The sequence below is a fragment of the Homo sapiens genome, chromosome 5, assembly GCF_000001405.40.
Source record: "Homo sapiens chromosome 5, GRCh38.p14 Primary Assembly".
NCBI classification, from domain to species: Eukaryota; Metazoa; Chordata; class Mammalia; order Primates; family Hominidae; genus Homo; species Homo sapiens.
The window spans coordinates 55,933,625-55,950,170 of NC_000005.10; the positions used below are offsets into that span (position 1 = coordinate 55,933,625).

Here is a 16,546-nt window from a genome sequence, read left to right on the forward strand (position 1 = left end):
CGCTAGGCAGCGGGCCCGGGGAAGTCTGTGGACAGAACCACCTGGGGTAGGACCGTGGTCTGAGCACCCAGGAAAAGCCCCTGCCGGAGATCCTCCTGTCACTAGTTGCCATGGGCTAGATTCCACCATTAGAGGAGTCTTTCTTTGGCCAAAAGAATGAGACTCCAGGGGTCGTGTGAGGGTGCATTCTCAGGAAAGTGGGACACATTGACCTCTTTTGCAGGGGTTGCTCTATAGGGTCAGAGCAAATGTATGTGCTAGTAGGGGTGGGGAGCCAGCCTCGGAGTAAACCTTGAGGGCATAAGGAGAAGTACTGCTCTGGGCTCGAGGCTCAGTTAGGACACTTCAAGGTAGGCAATTGCAGGGGGCTGCTTGAGGGCACAAGGTGCCCCATATTCACAAATAAGGGTGGTGGGGAGGGAGATGAGGGGAAGAGAAACTCAGAAGAGTTTGAAGGGCCTGGGAAGCAGGTGTGCATTCTCCTTAAGCTAGCCTGGGCATGACGTCATCAAGAATTTTGCTTAAGTGGTTGGGTACAATTGGTGTACACATCAAAGAATGCGGACTTTGGATCAGGTTGGAGTTGGAACTCCACTGTTTGTCAACCACATGACCCCGGGCAAGTTATTCAACCTCTTGGAGGCTGCATTTGTAAATGGTGCTGGTATTTACCTCATAAGTTTCTAGGATTTCATAACCCACAGTAAACACTTCATAGATGGCATATATTTGCTCACCTTTGGACACCCTGCTCCGGCATGTGGCCCCCAGCAGGTGATCAGAAAGGTCTGCCGGTTCATTTGAAGAGGAGCGGCCCCTCACCCCCAGCAGCAATGTCTAGTCTCGATTCTGACCGTGGCAGTTAAAAGTTTCTTGGAGGTCCTTTCCTAGGCACTGATGCTGGCTGGGTAGCCCTGGTGTTCGTATGTCTAGATTGAACAACTGGCAAAATCCACACTGACTTTGACCTGAAGAGTGGCTGACTTTTCATTCTCAGAACGCTTATGCAGAATTATGGTTTCTATTGTCAGAATCTCAGTGCCTTTTTATTTAAATATTCCCCTTCATGCCATTCCTTTAAAAGCATTATCCCTCTCATAAAGCTTATAGAGCCTATTTCCAAGAATTTTCTATAAATTCATTTAAAAGCTATCATTAGTCAACAGGCTGCTTCTGACTACAGGCAAGACTGCAGGGAAAACCTTTTCCTACGGGGAAGGGACCCAGATGTATACTTAATAGTTGTGTCTTGGACCTGTTACTAAGTGAAGATTGTTCTAGGAAAGTAGGCCTGGACTGAGGTATTAGATTTCTAATCAACAGGCTGGTCTCATTCAGAGTTTGAACCAGCACTCTGGGGGAGAAACCACTTGTGGCCGTTGAATTACTCTGGCTAGCCTGTCTCAGAAAGACCATCCACAGCCAGGGCTAATGAGACAGTTGAAGAAAGAGAAATACTTTACCTGAGGGTTTTGGTTTTTTTTTGGCTTTTATTTTTGTGTGTGTGGATTACCACCATATAGCTCACCATGTTATCCCAGAAAGACTACAATTTCATACAGAATGCACAGATGTTTAAATAAAAAGCCATTTAAGTGAGGGGATAATTCTCACTAAAAAAAGCTCAAAAATAAGAAATGACAATTCTAGATACACTTTTTTGACATGTAAAATGACATAACCATAGTCACAGGGAATAAAGAATCAGGTTTGAATGTCCACAGGTTTCTAAAACTAAGCTCTGGCTTCGTATCTGTTGAAAATCTTTAGCGGTTGGGGAAAATAGCTATATTTAAAAACAAATATTGAATTTTGAGTTGAAAGGTACATTTTCCTCCCTTGATGGAGACAGAACTTTTCTATGGAGAACCCAAGCAGCCTTTCCATGATCTTACTAAGTTGTCCAAGAGCCAACCCCGATCAGCAGCAACAGGACTCAAGCTGTTCACCCTGCTTTCGAGTTGGCTGAGCTTCCTGCTGCTTTCACACATTCTTCTTTTTCTACCTCAGTTCCTCTTTGCTTGTAGTCTTTCACTCCATTAACTTGCCCAAGCACTGGACTTAAGTATGGAAGAGCCTATACGCAGTTGTAATATATTTCGTATTTTGAAAGTGTAGAAGTTTGTATTAATTTAAAAAGAAAAAGCTTAAATGGAAAGTTAAGCAATCCTGAACAAGAAAACTCTCTCACTGCCTTTGGGCTAGAGAAAGAGTATGCTCTCAAGGAGTTACATAATCTTTTCCAAAGCAGGATGGACTGTATCTATCATACACATTAGGATAAGATGAGCCACCACACCTTAAAGAAATCAGGCTTGAGCCTATACAAGCCATAACCAAATAGAAGATTTTAAACAAAGGAGCACATAGCCCAAAGCTGACATGTTATTTCTATAAACTCTGGTATATATGTGAAGGAGTTACTGTTGGCTGGCTTGTGGGTTTTTTGACTCACTACATTTTTTTAGACAAAATCACAATGTGAAGGCACATTAATAGTTGAGATTTTCTTTTCCTTCCAGGTGGACTTGCTGACTGATTAGTTTCATATACTACTTAGTAACCTCAAGAAGTAGCAGGAGGATGCCATGTATCAATCTTGAACTTCAAGTCTCACTGCAACAAGGATGGAGACTCCAGCAGAGTGCAGGGTGGGCACAGACAGGCCACAAGATGGCGCAGCACCTCCATACTTGGGCTCTTGACAACCAAGTAGGTTTTTTTTTTTTTTTTTTTTTTTAATGTCCACTAGGAGGGAGGATGCTACGATTTCAGACCTCAGCTATTAAATAGTAAATCTGGAAAACTAGTGGATAAATTTGCCATCTCCATTCTATGTTATTAAGACCAAGATAGTGTACTGGTTTTCTTTTAAATCACATTCCATTATGTCATTTAAAATGTCACAAAACCCACACGAAGCATCTCATTTACACTAAGATGCTTATTTAGCTAACACCACTAATGATAAATGCTGTTACAAATATGCATAGTCAGATGATAGTAACCACATACAGAAAAAAAATTTGAACAAGTATTTATTTCTTAAAATTTACTTAAGGGATTAGAGCTAATATATAATAGAACATTTAATATAACATTTGGAGTTATGTCAACATAAAAATAGCTGTGGTTACAATTAGCACATGCAATTCACTGCAAAGGTAAAAATACATGCTATACTCTAGACAAGCCTTCCAAATGAAGTTAGAGTAGATGGGGTAAAACAGCAAGTGAACATGAAAGGATTGCACTTAGAAGAAAGTGGGACATAGCTAGGATATAAAAGAAACATACCTAATGCTAGTCAGTCACTGCATTGTCCTACTAGCAAATTGCACATTTATTTTTAGAGTATATTCAATACACATACATATTGAGACTAGAGAATTTTCAAATATCTACCTTTGAAATATCCCTTTGTTTCTAACACATCACATTATGGTATTAATGTAACAGCACTTAAAACCTGTAGTTATCATTCAAAGCTTGTGTTCAAGAGATAAAAGAACATCATTCAGACAAAGCCTGTGTTCAAGAAATAAAAAAAACATCTATCACTATCGGCCTTAAATGCATCTCATCACACGACCCATCAACTTTAATGAAATGGGTAATGAAGTTAAACTAACCAGTTTGTACAAACTATTGACTGAGAAAAAGCCCTTAAAAATTTAGGAACAAATGAGCAACAGAAGAGCTCACCCTGAGCTGCCACCTTTTAATTTTTAATGCAATGTATATGAGAATATCATGCTAATGCACATACTAGTAGCATGTATGATGGAAAAAAATAGGTTAATGCAAAAGATAATACGCTTGGCTTTGTAAAGTTTTGTTTTGACTTACATCATCTGAATTCTGTTTATCGAGTCTGAAAAGGAACTGCTGCCAAGGACCAGTCCAAAGAAGAATTAGGCTGTAAGACTGCTAGTTCATACCTTCTTTGAAATCAATGACAATGTCCAATTTTAGGCTAATCCTAAAACACTTGCCATTTTATGACTCCATATTCTTTTAATTTACAGAAAAGTACAAATTTTTTAGAAAGTAATCTTATCAGCACAATATAATCTAACAATACCTGTAATAGAAAGCTATCCCAGTAAATTTTTTTTGAACAATTGAACTTTTGTCTTATGCAGCTTATAACTTTGTTATTTTATTCATCTCAACAAAATAAAACTTTATTGAAACAAAAGTGTATGGTTTAGGAATATGCTCTTAATAACAACTGAGCAAAATTAGAATGATGTGGACTATAACAGAATGAAGGAAGATCTCTCCTGCTTGATGTACTTGGTCAATATATGTTAGTAAACAGAAATATTTTAGGGAATTCTATGATTATTCTACTTCTACATTTACATGTCATGGTTTTAACTAGTTAAATGGGTAGAAAAAAGACATCTTTAATAATTGATTTCTATTTCTCAAACTAGATGCTCTACTTTAAATATGAGCTTTAATGAATGTTTTGTAACATTTTAAAGTTGTAACATTTCTAAGTATACTCCACTAACTTCACAATAAGAGCTAGGGTCACTGGATGACTTCATGTGGTAAAATCCCTTATCAAGGAATAAGGCTGAAATTTAAATGAACAATTAGGTAGAGAAGAGGTATGAACACAGAACATGTGAATGAAATTTGCTTTTTTTCCTTGCTGCTGTTCCCGAGTGCCGACTGATCCATAGTAAAAAAGGACAAGATTAAAATTTTAGGTTTTAATGGTACAAAGTGTGAAGTTTTATAGTTTTCTAATAATTATTCAGTATTATCCCTTTCAGAGATGAGGGTAGGATACCACAGACATCAGTAACTGACAAGTTATAATATCAACACATGTAACATTTGGGTCATTATTTTATAACCCTAAAGGGAGCAACTGCAGGTGCAGAAGCAGTGAGTGAACTAGTTTTGTCCAGACAAGGTTTTCTGATGTGCTATTACTTTAAACACCACTTTTGGACACTAAAGATTTAAAGTGATAAAGCCACTAACTAACTTTATTAGACTAGTTTTTACATAAATAACCAGATTTCTTTGCCTACCTAAAGTACAATTTACATGCATCAACACATAGATTATTCTAAGACATGCTTGGGAAAGTAATTTTGAATGTAAAAAGTTTTATAATTTATTTTCTCCTTAGGGCAGGTGTACATTACATATTAGTGCTCAAATATATGTTCATTTCCAGAATGAATTTTTGCACAGTAATCATATATCCATTTAATATGTATAAAGTGTTCTTGGGGATGGGGGTATATTCACTCACTGTACCATGTTTTATACAGGCTTCAACATGCAAATTTGTTTATATCATGGCCTTCAATGATCCTCCATTCTCATTCCTGTAGATTAAGAGTTCATATTGTATATCTGACCCTGAAATGTACAAACTTCACACTACAACATTCTTCATGACACTATTTGTTATGAGGAAAGTTGCAGCTAAATATTAGTCATGTGACTTAAATTTTGAGAAAATGGAAAATGTAATAGGTATAAATTTCCTGACACATACAGCAAGACAAATCCAGCCCAGCCTTTGATGATCAACTTAAAAGCTGGAGATGTCATTATCTTGTTGTGTAAATTTGGGTCTATCCCTACCTTTACTTCTCTGTGCCTGATTTTCCTCATCTACTTTGAATTCGTCATTCTATTAATCTACTTTTGCCTAAAGTGGGAAACTGAATATATCAGAATGAAACATCTATTTTTTTCATAAAGAAGATCATATAATATGTGAAAGAACTTTGAAAGGATGAGGCATTATATAAATGCAAGAATATAAAAGATAAACAGGAAGTCTAATGTGAACAATATTCTGAGAGTAAAAAGTGTAATTATATTTCCATTGTAAATGTATACCAAGTTTTCTTAGCTTTCTATTCTCCAATAACCTCTAGAAACTATTCTAAGCATGCCTGGTTTCTGTAACTTAAATATGGCATAAAAACCTGTTTCCTTTGAATTCACTTGATAGCAGTAGTCAATCACTAATAACGCTTGCTAATTTCCTCTTACTTTCTAAGAAAACCCCTATATTTAGCATCTGCTTCCATATCGCACGTGGTGGTTAGGGGACAGCATAAGTACACTAGCGGCTTTAGCACTAAACTCGAGGCCTGGGTCACTTCTCCCTTGAAGAAAAAAGGTTTTAAAAATTCCTAAATCACAATGTAGAACTAAGTTCCACCCTACCTCAGAACTGCAGACATTAAAATACCATCTCTTTATTAAGTGTCTCTACAATAATGATATTTGCTAAGAACAAGATGTACATTTTTTGGGGTTCTGTTTTGTTTTGGCAAATATTGCCCAAGTTGTCTTAGTGTGCCTCAAACATTTACTAAAAATAAAAAAATTTAAATCTTTGCCTACTTATTTAAAAATAAAAAAAATACTCAAAACAAATTTAAGCTGAAGATATATACTGTATAAAGTGTTCATCTACCCAGTACTCTGAAGTCTTAAGAAAAGTCAATGATATGTGTGTGTATATATATATATATATATACACACATTAGCAATTTAAGCCTTTTAACATGCCAATTTTTTAGATGCTTTATTGGTTTTTTTTCCCCTTTACTACTACTTCCTGTTTTCCCCTTTACTACTACAATTTAAGCCTTTAAAAATGGCAATTTTTTAGATGCTTGAGATAGTTTGGGGGATCCCTAGCTCTTATCATGGCACTCTGTTGAGTTTGTGAAATGCATCTTCAAAGAGGTTGTCAATAATATGCAAATTTTTGAAAACTAGTGAGATTACTAATTATTGATGAATAAAAAATGAGTACTTTTAATCTGCCAAGTTAAAGCTCTAGAATTCCTTTTCTCCAGTAATAACTCGCAGCATCACTACCAATGGAAGGGACCTAAGGAATACCGTGTACACTGATATACACGAAGCTGCTCCTCATTTTTTTGTCAGATTACAAAAGCTGGGCTCATGTAGTTATGGCCTATGGACCTCTTTTTAAGTTATTTTAGCAGAAGTAGATGATGGTCTACACCTTGCTCCTCTTTTATATTAACTGTCCCTAAGCCACTCTGATGACTATTCTAATCAAAATCAGTATAGCTGTGCTCACTAAGCATATCACTGCTTATTATTCAAATACCTTCTGTTTTCTATGTAGCAAAACAAAAAGTTTTATAAATTTCAGATAAGCTTTCTGTTTTTCTTCAGTGCAAACATCCTGAAACAGCACAAAATCATTCAGCTAGTCTGAGGATAAAGTCAGTTTATGTAGTGCTTAAAGTAGAATCCCAGATATTCTGGAATGGAAATAGCTCATGTGAAACTTCAGTTCATTTTTGTCCTTAAGGGCAAATGATCATCTTCAGAGAGTGAAGACTTTTTAAAATCTGAATTCACAGATAAAATCATTTTAGCTTTACTTTATAGGTACTGCTGAAGTTGTAGCAGGAACTACTAGTCCTTCACTGAGGCATGTAGCCGCCTTGCCGTACAGTCTGTGGTAAGTAACTTTTAGGCATGCCTTCATCAGTCGCAGCCTCCATGCCAACTGTTTCAAATCTTTCTACTTGTCCCTCAGTACCTGGACCAAAAGCATCTGCTGCAGAAACTTCCTGAAACATTTTCATTTGCCCAGATCCACAGGATTGTGAAATATGATCTGAAATCTGCTGTTTAAGTCTAACAAAATCTTCCTCATTGACTGATGAAACTTGCTTTGACCTTTCAAAATGTGAAATATCTGGACTGGATTCATGCTGACTGCAGTTCTGTTTGAAGTACTGTTGCCTGGGCAAAATACCATCACCGCCATCTACATGATCTACTAATTGTAGATCTTCTGGCCGCTCCTCTGAATCTAACAAGGGCTGGGTAGACTCGGATCTTGAGAAGACTTGGACTGACGGAACTTGGTGTCTGTAGCCACTGTGTACCACGGTAGAATACTGGACAGTGCTCGAAGTGTTTTGTGAAGATTCATTTTCATCACTGCTAGAAATGCTTGGCCTAGAAGATGACATGCATGAAGACCCCCCAATACCACTGCTGTGTCCTTCAGTATTAATTTTTTCCTTTTTGAACAGGTCCAATGATTTCAGATCTTCTGGAAAAGGCTTTTTGTCATTTGCTTCTATTTCCACAACACTTACATCAGTGAAATTGCCATCTGAATACATTTGATCTTTTGAATTAAAATTGTGCTAAGGAAGAGAAAAAATTGTATATGGCAAGTATTAGTTAAAGCCACAGAGCTAATGCATCTCTGAAACTTCCCAGTAACTCTCAGTGGTACAGAAATAACCTGTATTATGTCACTAAGTCACTGTCAACTACCCAAAATGCAGATACTATAAAATGAGTCTAAGTAGTCTAAATCAATATTGTTGGTGTTACATTTTGATAAGCTAATGGTCTACAAGTAGTATTTAATATTTCATGCCTAGACTAGGCAGCCTAGGATTAACTGGACAGAAAACTAGAAAACATTAAGGAAAATCAAACCTGAATGACAGAGATTTTGTAGAATATAAAAATACATAATACATTTTAATCTGTTAATATAAAATTTAAGGACTACCGGAGGATAATAAATATAAATGAGTTCCCCTTTGGGGCATATTTAAAATTCAGAGTTTAGAGTAGGTTCCCAGAGATCATTTCATCAGTGCTAAAATGATAAACTGTTGAACTTGGTTTTAATACTCAACCCAAAATGCTTGAGGTAGTTACCATCACATAGCAGTTTCAGCACCTCAAGTTTTCAGTTTGCAAGTTCAACCAAACATCTGTAATGTGTACTAAACAATTTAAAATATCAGAACAAATATACTATGATGGTGATAAAACCCCTAAAATATGTCATACATATTAAATTTTGATTAAAATTTTCAGTTATGTACTGTTTTATCTTCATTTACTTTTTGATTCAGCTTGAATATCTTATCTTTTGGTACATTTGTAGATACTCAATATACCTACTAACTGTAGATACTCAATATACCTACTAACATGTCTGTATATTATAAACAACTCAGAAGCATTTTCTCTTACCCTTGGAGGAGTGTGAGGTGACCACTGGGCAATATGACTCTTTGAAGGATCTGGAACATTAGGCCAGATGTGTTTTTTAATTCTGAAGAGAAAAGAAAAATGGCCTATGTAAAACCACACATAATAAACAATAAATAGTCCCTATTTCTAAACATGTTCATCAAAGACTCTTACAAACCAAACCAATTACCTAAATGAACAAAAAATACCTACTCTACCCCAAACAAAAATTATTTTTCTTATAACCAATAGAAAAATACTGTTGAAAATGCATAAGGATTATAATGTATTCATAATGAATTAACAAAGCTAAATCTAATCAGTGTTCAAATTTTTTTTTAAACTCTCAAAATTCTGCAATTAAAACCACTTAAAATCTTTACCCAGGCCACATGTTGTGGTATTCCAATTAAAAGAATCCAGATAACAAATTAATGTTCCCACTGATACCAAAAAAGTTCAAATATAAAAATCAAATTTAAAAAAGTGACTGAGAATGGTGCTTCAAAGAGTGAGAGCCTACCAGACTGACTCTCCTGTAGGAAATACCTATAACATTTGGAAGTAATATAAAAAGTAGTAAAGCTGACAACCTAGACAAACCAATGAATGAATCCTTGAAAGACACAAATTACCAAAACAGATTGAAGAAAAAGAAAGCTATATTTATAAAGAAATTGAATTTTTAATTAAAAACCTTCCCACAAAACTCTGGGCAAAAGGAAACAATTGTATTAATACTATACAAACTCTTTCAGAAAACAGAGGAGGTAACATGTTCCCATTCATTTTATGAGGCCAGTATTATCCTGATTTTAAAACCAGACAGATAAGGCACATAAAGACAGACTAACTTCACTCATGAACACAGATGCAAACAGTATTAAACTGAATGCAGCAAAATCCAAGGAATGCAAAGATGTTATATGAAAAATCAATAAAATGCACCATATTCATGGAAGGAAGGAGAAAAACCATATGATCATCTCAATAGATTCAGAAAAAGCATTTGACCAAATTGTGACACCCATTCATGATAAAAATTGCTAGCAAGGCAAAACAGAAATAAGAACTTCCCCCCTGCAAGTAGTAGTAAAGGGGAAAAAAAAACACAAAGCGGCTGGGCGCGGTGGCTCACACCTGTAATCCCAACACTTTGGGAGGCTGAGGTGGGTGGATTACCTGAGGTCAGGAGTTCAAGACCAGCCTGGCCAACATGGTGAAACCCCCATCTCTACTAAACTAAAAATACAAAAAAATTAGCCAGGCATGGTGGTGCATGCCTGTAATCCCAGCTACTCGGGTGGCTGAGGCAGGAGAATTGCTTGAACCCAGAAGGTGGGGGTTGCAGTGAGCCAAGATTGTGCCACTGCACTCCAGCCTGGGCAACAAGAGTAGAACTCAGTCTCAAAACAAAAAAACCCCACAAAGCAAAAACTTCAACCTACAGCTAACATCACATGTGATGGTGAAAGACTAAATACTTTCACCTCTAAAATTAGGAACAAAGCAATGCTCTTATATGGTCTAGATGTACTATATGTACTAGAGGTCTTAGCCAGTGCATTAAGACAATAAAAAGAACTAAAAGCATAAAGATTAGAACAACTATAATTACTCCCAAGAAGCATGATTGTGTATCTAGAAAATCCTAAGGATCCAAAAAGCTACTAATAAATGAATTTATCAAAGTCTCAGTATACATGATGAATATATTTTAAAAAATCAATTGCATTTCTATATACTAAGAATTAGAAAATATTTTTAAACATTTCATTTATAATAACAAAAAATACTTTTGTCATGAATTCAAAAAAAGTTATGCAAGGCCTGTCTACTGAAAACTACAAAACACTGCAAAAGTAAATTAAACAAAACCCAAATAAATAAAGAAATAAACCAGGTTCACGGATTGAAAGACTCAGTAGCGTTAAGACTGCAGTTCTCTCTCGGCCTTAGCGCCATTTTTTTGGAAACCTCGGCGCCATGAGAGCCAAGTGGAGGAAGAAGCGAATGCGCAGGCTGAAGCGCAAAAGAAGAAAGATGAGGCAGAGGTCCAAGTAAACCGCTAGCTTGTTGCACCGTGGAGGCCACAGGAGCAGAAACATGGAATGCCAGACGCTGGGGATGCTGGTACAAGTTGTGGGACTGCATGCTACTGTCTAGAGCTTGTCTCAATGGATCTAGAACTTCATCGCCCTCTGATCGCCGATCACCTCTGAGACCCACCTTGCTCAAAAACAAAATGCCCATGTTGGTCCTCTGCCCTGGACCTGTGACATTCTGGACTATTTCTGTGTTTATTTGTGGCCGAGTGTAACAACCATATAATAAATCACCTCTTCCGCTGTTTTAGCTGAGGAATTAAATCAAAAAAAAAAAAAAAAAAAGACTGCAGTTCTCTCCTATAGATTCAATTAAATCTGACCTATAGATTCAATAAAATCCCAATCAAAACTATAGTTTTAAAAAAGTTGACAAGCTGAATTAAAATGTATATGAAAAGGCAAAGAACCTAGCCAAAATAACTTCTTTAAAAAAAGAACACACTGGAAGAATTCTACCTATTTTCAAAATTTACTATAGAGCTATACTCATCAAGGCAATGTGGTATTGGCATAAGAACGGACATATATACATTTATGAAACAGAAGTGAGAGTATGGAAATAGATACAGACTTATAAAGACAATTGCTTTTGGCAAAGGTACCAAAGCAATTCAATGGGGAAAAGACACTCTTTTCAAAATAAATGACAATGGAATTAGACATCTGAAGGAACAAAATGAACCTTGACCCTGACCTCACACCATGCACAAAAATAACCTGAAATGGATCATAGACTAAGAGCTGAAACTATTGAACTTATGGAAGAAAACATGAGAAAATATTTTGATACTGTGTTTGGCAGGACACAAAACTCAGGAACCACAGAAAAAAAACTGATAAAATGAACTTCATCAAAATAAAAAACTTATGCTTTTTTTTTTTTTTTTTTTTTTTTTTTTCAGACACTCTGTCACCCAGGTTGGAGTGCAGTGATGTGATCTTGGCTCACTGCAACCCATGCCTCCTGGGTTCAAGCAATTCTCCTGCCTCAGCCTCCCGAGTAGCTGGGATTACTGACGTGTGCCACCATGCCCGGCTAAGTTTTTGTATTTTTAGTAGAGATGTTAGCCACTGTGTTAGCCAGGATGGCCTCAATCTCCTGACCTTGTGAGCCGCCCGCCTTGACCTCCCAAAGTGGTGGGATTACAGGCGTAAAACTTCTGCTTTTCTAAAGCCACAGTTAAGACAAAAAAACAAAGCACAGACTGGGACAAAAGTTTGCAAAACGTATTTAACAATGTTGTAACCAGAACATATAAAGCACTCTTATAGCTCAATTATAAACAAAATAACCCAATTTGAAAATGGGTAAAAGATTTCAATAGACACATCACAAAAGAAAATATGTAAGTGACACATGAAAAGATCCATTACTAGTCATCGGAGAAATGAAAATTAAAACGATATAGTACTACACACCCACTAGAATGAAAGAAGTCTGACAGCACTAAGTGTTGGTGATAATATGGAACACTGCTGGAGGCAATCCAAGATGGTGTAGCCACTCTGAAAAAGTTTGGCAGTTTCTTATAAAGTTGAACATATACTTACCATATGACCCAGCACTCTCACTCCTATTATTTGTTCAAGATAAAGGAAAACATATGCTCGCACAGTTTTGTATGTGAATATTCATAGCAACATTATTTATAATAGCTAAAAATTAGAAACAACCTAAACTTCCATAACAGATCAGTCTAAGTTTTGATATATCCATACTACAGAATACTGTTCAGCAATAAAAAGGAAAAAGGTAGGCCAGGTGTGGTGACTCATGCCTGTAATCCCAGCACTTTTGGGAAGCCAAGGTGGGTGGATCACTTGAGGTCCGGAGTTCGAGACCAGCCTGGCCAACATGATGAAACTCCGTCTCAACTGTAAATACAAAAATTAGCTGGGCATGGTGGCAAGTGCCTGTAATCCCAGTTACTCAAGAGGCTGAGGCAGGAGAATCACCTGAACTCAGGAGGTAGAGGTTGCAGTGAGCCAAGATCATGCCACTGTACTCCAGTAAGGGAACAGAGTGAGACTCCATCTCAAAAAAAAAAAAAGGGAGAAGTATATGCAACATCATGGATGAATCTCAAAAATATTATGTAAAAGACATACGCAAAAGACTACACGCTATGTGATTCTATTTATATAAAATTCTTGGCCGTGGCTCACACCTGTAATCCCAGCACTTTGGGAGGCTGAGGGTGGATCCCCTGAGGTCAGGAGTTCGAGACCAGCCTGGCCAACATGGTGATACCCCATCTCTACTAAAAATACAAAAAATTAGCTGGGTGTGGTGGTGGGCGCCTGTAATCCTAGCTACTTTGAAGGCTGAGGCAGGAGTCTGAACCAGGGAGGCAGAGGTTGTAGTGAACTGAGATCGCACCACTGCACTCCATCCTGGGCAACAAGAGTGAAACTCTGTCTCAAAATAGATAGATAAATAAAAATTCTAGAAAAGGCAAAACTACAGTTACAGAAAAGCAGATCAATGACTGCCTGGGGTTGGGCTGAGAAGAAGACAGATTACAAAGGAGAACAAGGAAGCTTTATAAAAGTGATGAAAATGTTCTATATTGTGATTATGGTGGTAGTTATACATCTGTATGTAATTACAAAAATTCATCAAACTGTACACTTAAAATGGATAAATTTTATTGCATGTAAATTCAGCTCAATAAAGCTGGGGGAAAATGCAAAAATATGAATAAAGTTACTTACAGGTCTCGCTTATTAAAGCAGAACAGCACTCCCAGAAGAGTTGTCAATAGGAATGCTAAGCAAACAGGCACGACTATGGCTTCAATTTCTCCTTGAGCTTAAAAAAAAAAAAAAAAAAAAAAAAAGAGGTGTGATGGGAAATAATGTTGACATATGAACTAAGAAGACATAATACAACTTCCCAACCAGACTTACTGTTGAAAAGATAAAATACAATCCTAATTATTTTTCAAGGTCTCTTCAGACTTGATGATTTTTACCCTCTTCTCTCTTTGGTAAATCACATCCCAACCATTTATGTCTTATACATTAACCTGGCCGCATAGCATAAAATATATGTTGGTTGGGGGATAAAAATGATCAGTGTATCGGGTAATCTACTGGGTTAGAGCTTTCAAACATAACCATTTGTAACATTTATGATCTGCATTTGGTAGAATCTTAGTAAAAGTTTATCTCTGAGTTCTAATACTGTATAACAGAGAAATTATGTCAGAACAAATATAAATACTGGGTAAAATGGAAAAGCTATAAAAACATAATTGAACTACACATTTAACCTTCTAAAAAATAAAAATGCAACTCTCAGAAGTTTTAAGAGTTATTTACCATTTTTCAAAAGGAGGATATAGCTGGTACAGGGCTAAGAACTTTAGGAGCTGCTCAATGGGCATGAGGAGTGGCACGAGTAGGAATAAACTAAAAAGTAAACAAGCCTAAGATCCCTAAATACCACACAAATCCTCATCTGCATTTAAAAGAGGACTTGTTCATCAAATTAATCACTAATTGGGATAATTAACATTGGAGATTTTTTAAATGACTGTCCTGATTAATTTTGAATTTTACTTAGTCTTTTACAGTAAAAAATGTATGAAAGTAATATTGCAGCCATATACTATTCACTTAATTTTATCCTTCCACCACACATATCCCTTTGTAAGTAACTAACATCCTATGAAGCTCAGTAGAAATCAAGAAATCAGTTAAATGCTTGAGAATAAACTATGGGTTGGCAAATATTAACTCTTAAATGCTAAGCATCATATATATATATATATGGGTGTATGTATATATATTTATGTGTGTATATATTGATATATGTGTGTATATATATATTGATATGGGTATGTATGTGTGTATATATATATAAAATGCCAAATCTAATTTAGGCAGAAACTTTGCTTTATTAAACATCTGCTTTTATGTTTTCAAGCCTGTGCCTTTGCTCATGCTGCTCTCTAAGATGCCACCTTCTTCCTATTTGTCCACATACTAACTCAAGGCTCAAGTATTTTCTTCTTCATAAAACCTTTGAAGGTAAAATTATCCACTACTGGTATATTTAAATTCCTACTCTATTTACTGTCTACATAGTCCACAGGTTCTCCTTTTTCTGATTTACTTATGCAAAATTTCTTCAACTAAGCTGTAAGGTCCTCGTTGGCAAGACTCAAGCCATGTGAAGAAGCCATAATGGATCCATGAGACTACAGATAGAGAATTGAAAAAAGGTAGGTTATAAAATAATACTAAGTATAATTTAATTTTAGGAAAAAAATATATACAAAGAAGACACTAAAAGGATACACAAATATGTTATTTTGGGGTAAGGGACTAGGACTAATTTTTCTTCCTCTCTACATTTTACTGTACAGTCTAAATTCCCTATAATGAACACCTATGTAATAAAAAAATTTTAGGCTGAGCATGGTGGCTCATACCTGTAATCCGGCACTCTGGGAGGCTAAGGCAGGAGGACTGAGGCCAGGAGTTCAAAACCAGCCTGGGCAACACAGCGAGATCCCATCTCTACCAAAAAAATTGTTTTAACTAGCCAGGCATGGTGGTGCCTACCAGCAGTCTTAGTTACTTGGGAGGCTGAGGCAGGAGGATTGCTTGAGCCCAGGAATTTGAGGTTGCAGTGAGCTATGACTGCACCACTGCACTCCAGCCTGGGAGACAGAGCAAGACTCTGTCTCAAAAACAAACAAACAAAAAATATACATATGGGCTTTTATGTGTGTGTGTACACACACACATACATATATACAAAGCTCTGTAGAGATGGCTGGTCTCCACAGAAATACATAAAATATACATTTTTAAGTTTATTTTTTAATTTTTCTCAAGATTATGGTATAAAGTTTTATTTTAAATAACATACCTATTAACATACCACCACATGGGACCAACCTTATCCCAGAAACTATATTCATTACTGACCCTAACAGCAAAGCTCAGGAACTTTTATCATTTATTTTATGTAGTCACTCATTCATTTATTCCCTCATTCAGCAAGCATTCAACCAACAAGGCACATGGAATTTACTACTTATCATTAACTAGGCTGGCACTTGGGGGTGGGGGTTACAATTATGGTAAAATAAGGTAATTTTCTATAATGATTCAAAATGTAGGGGGAGCAAGAAAGAATGTTGGTTAAGTTTGCTTTAGGGAAGATACAGAAGAGCCAGATGATGAGGTGAAGACCTCACTGGGGGCAATGCACTAAGAAAAGAGAAGTTAGCATGAGGAGCTTGCAGTTGAAGAAAATGATGATGAAAGGGTACGCACAATCAACAGGACTTGACACTCAGCTTATGTGAGAGAAAAATATACAAATACATTTATTGTAATCACATTTAAATTTATGGCTTTGGCATAGAACGAGGGAG

At 36.4% G+C, this 16,546-nt stretch overlaps 1 protein-coding gene across 10 annotated transcripts in view; it reads right to left on the bottom strand.

The window, feature by feature from the left end:
* Positions 1–1,470: 1,470 nt before the first annotated feature.
* Positions 1,471–16,546, bottom strand: part of IL6ST (interleukin 6 cytokine family signal transducer) — a 59,869-nt gene continuing 44,793 nt past the window's right edge. For 9 of the 10 annotated variants that reach the window (NR_120480.2, NM_001364276.2, NM_001364279.2 and 6 more), the window contains 3 exons: positions 13,869–13,965; positions 9,046–9,127; positions 1,471–8,195 (listed from right to left, as the gene is read on the bottom strand). Coding sequence is in view for 7 of the 10 variants with exons in the window: in NM_001364276.2 (NP_001351205.1) it covers positions 7,458–8,195; positions 9,046–9,127; positions 13,869–13,965 (917 nt within the window). In the remaining 3 variants the exon portion in view is untranslated. Of the gene's footprint in view, positions 8,196–9,045; positions 9,128–13,868; positions 13,966–14,477; positions 15,359–16,546 lie in introns of all 10 variants that reach the window. The other variant, NR_157112.2, reaches the window with a different exon arrangement.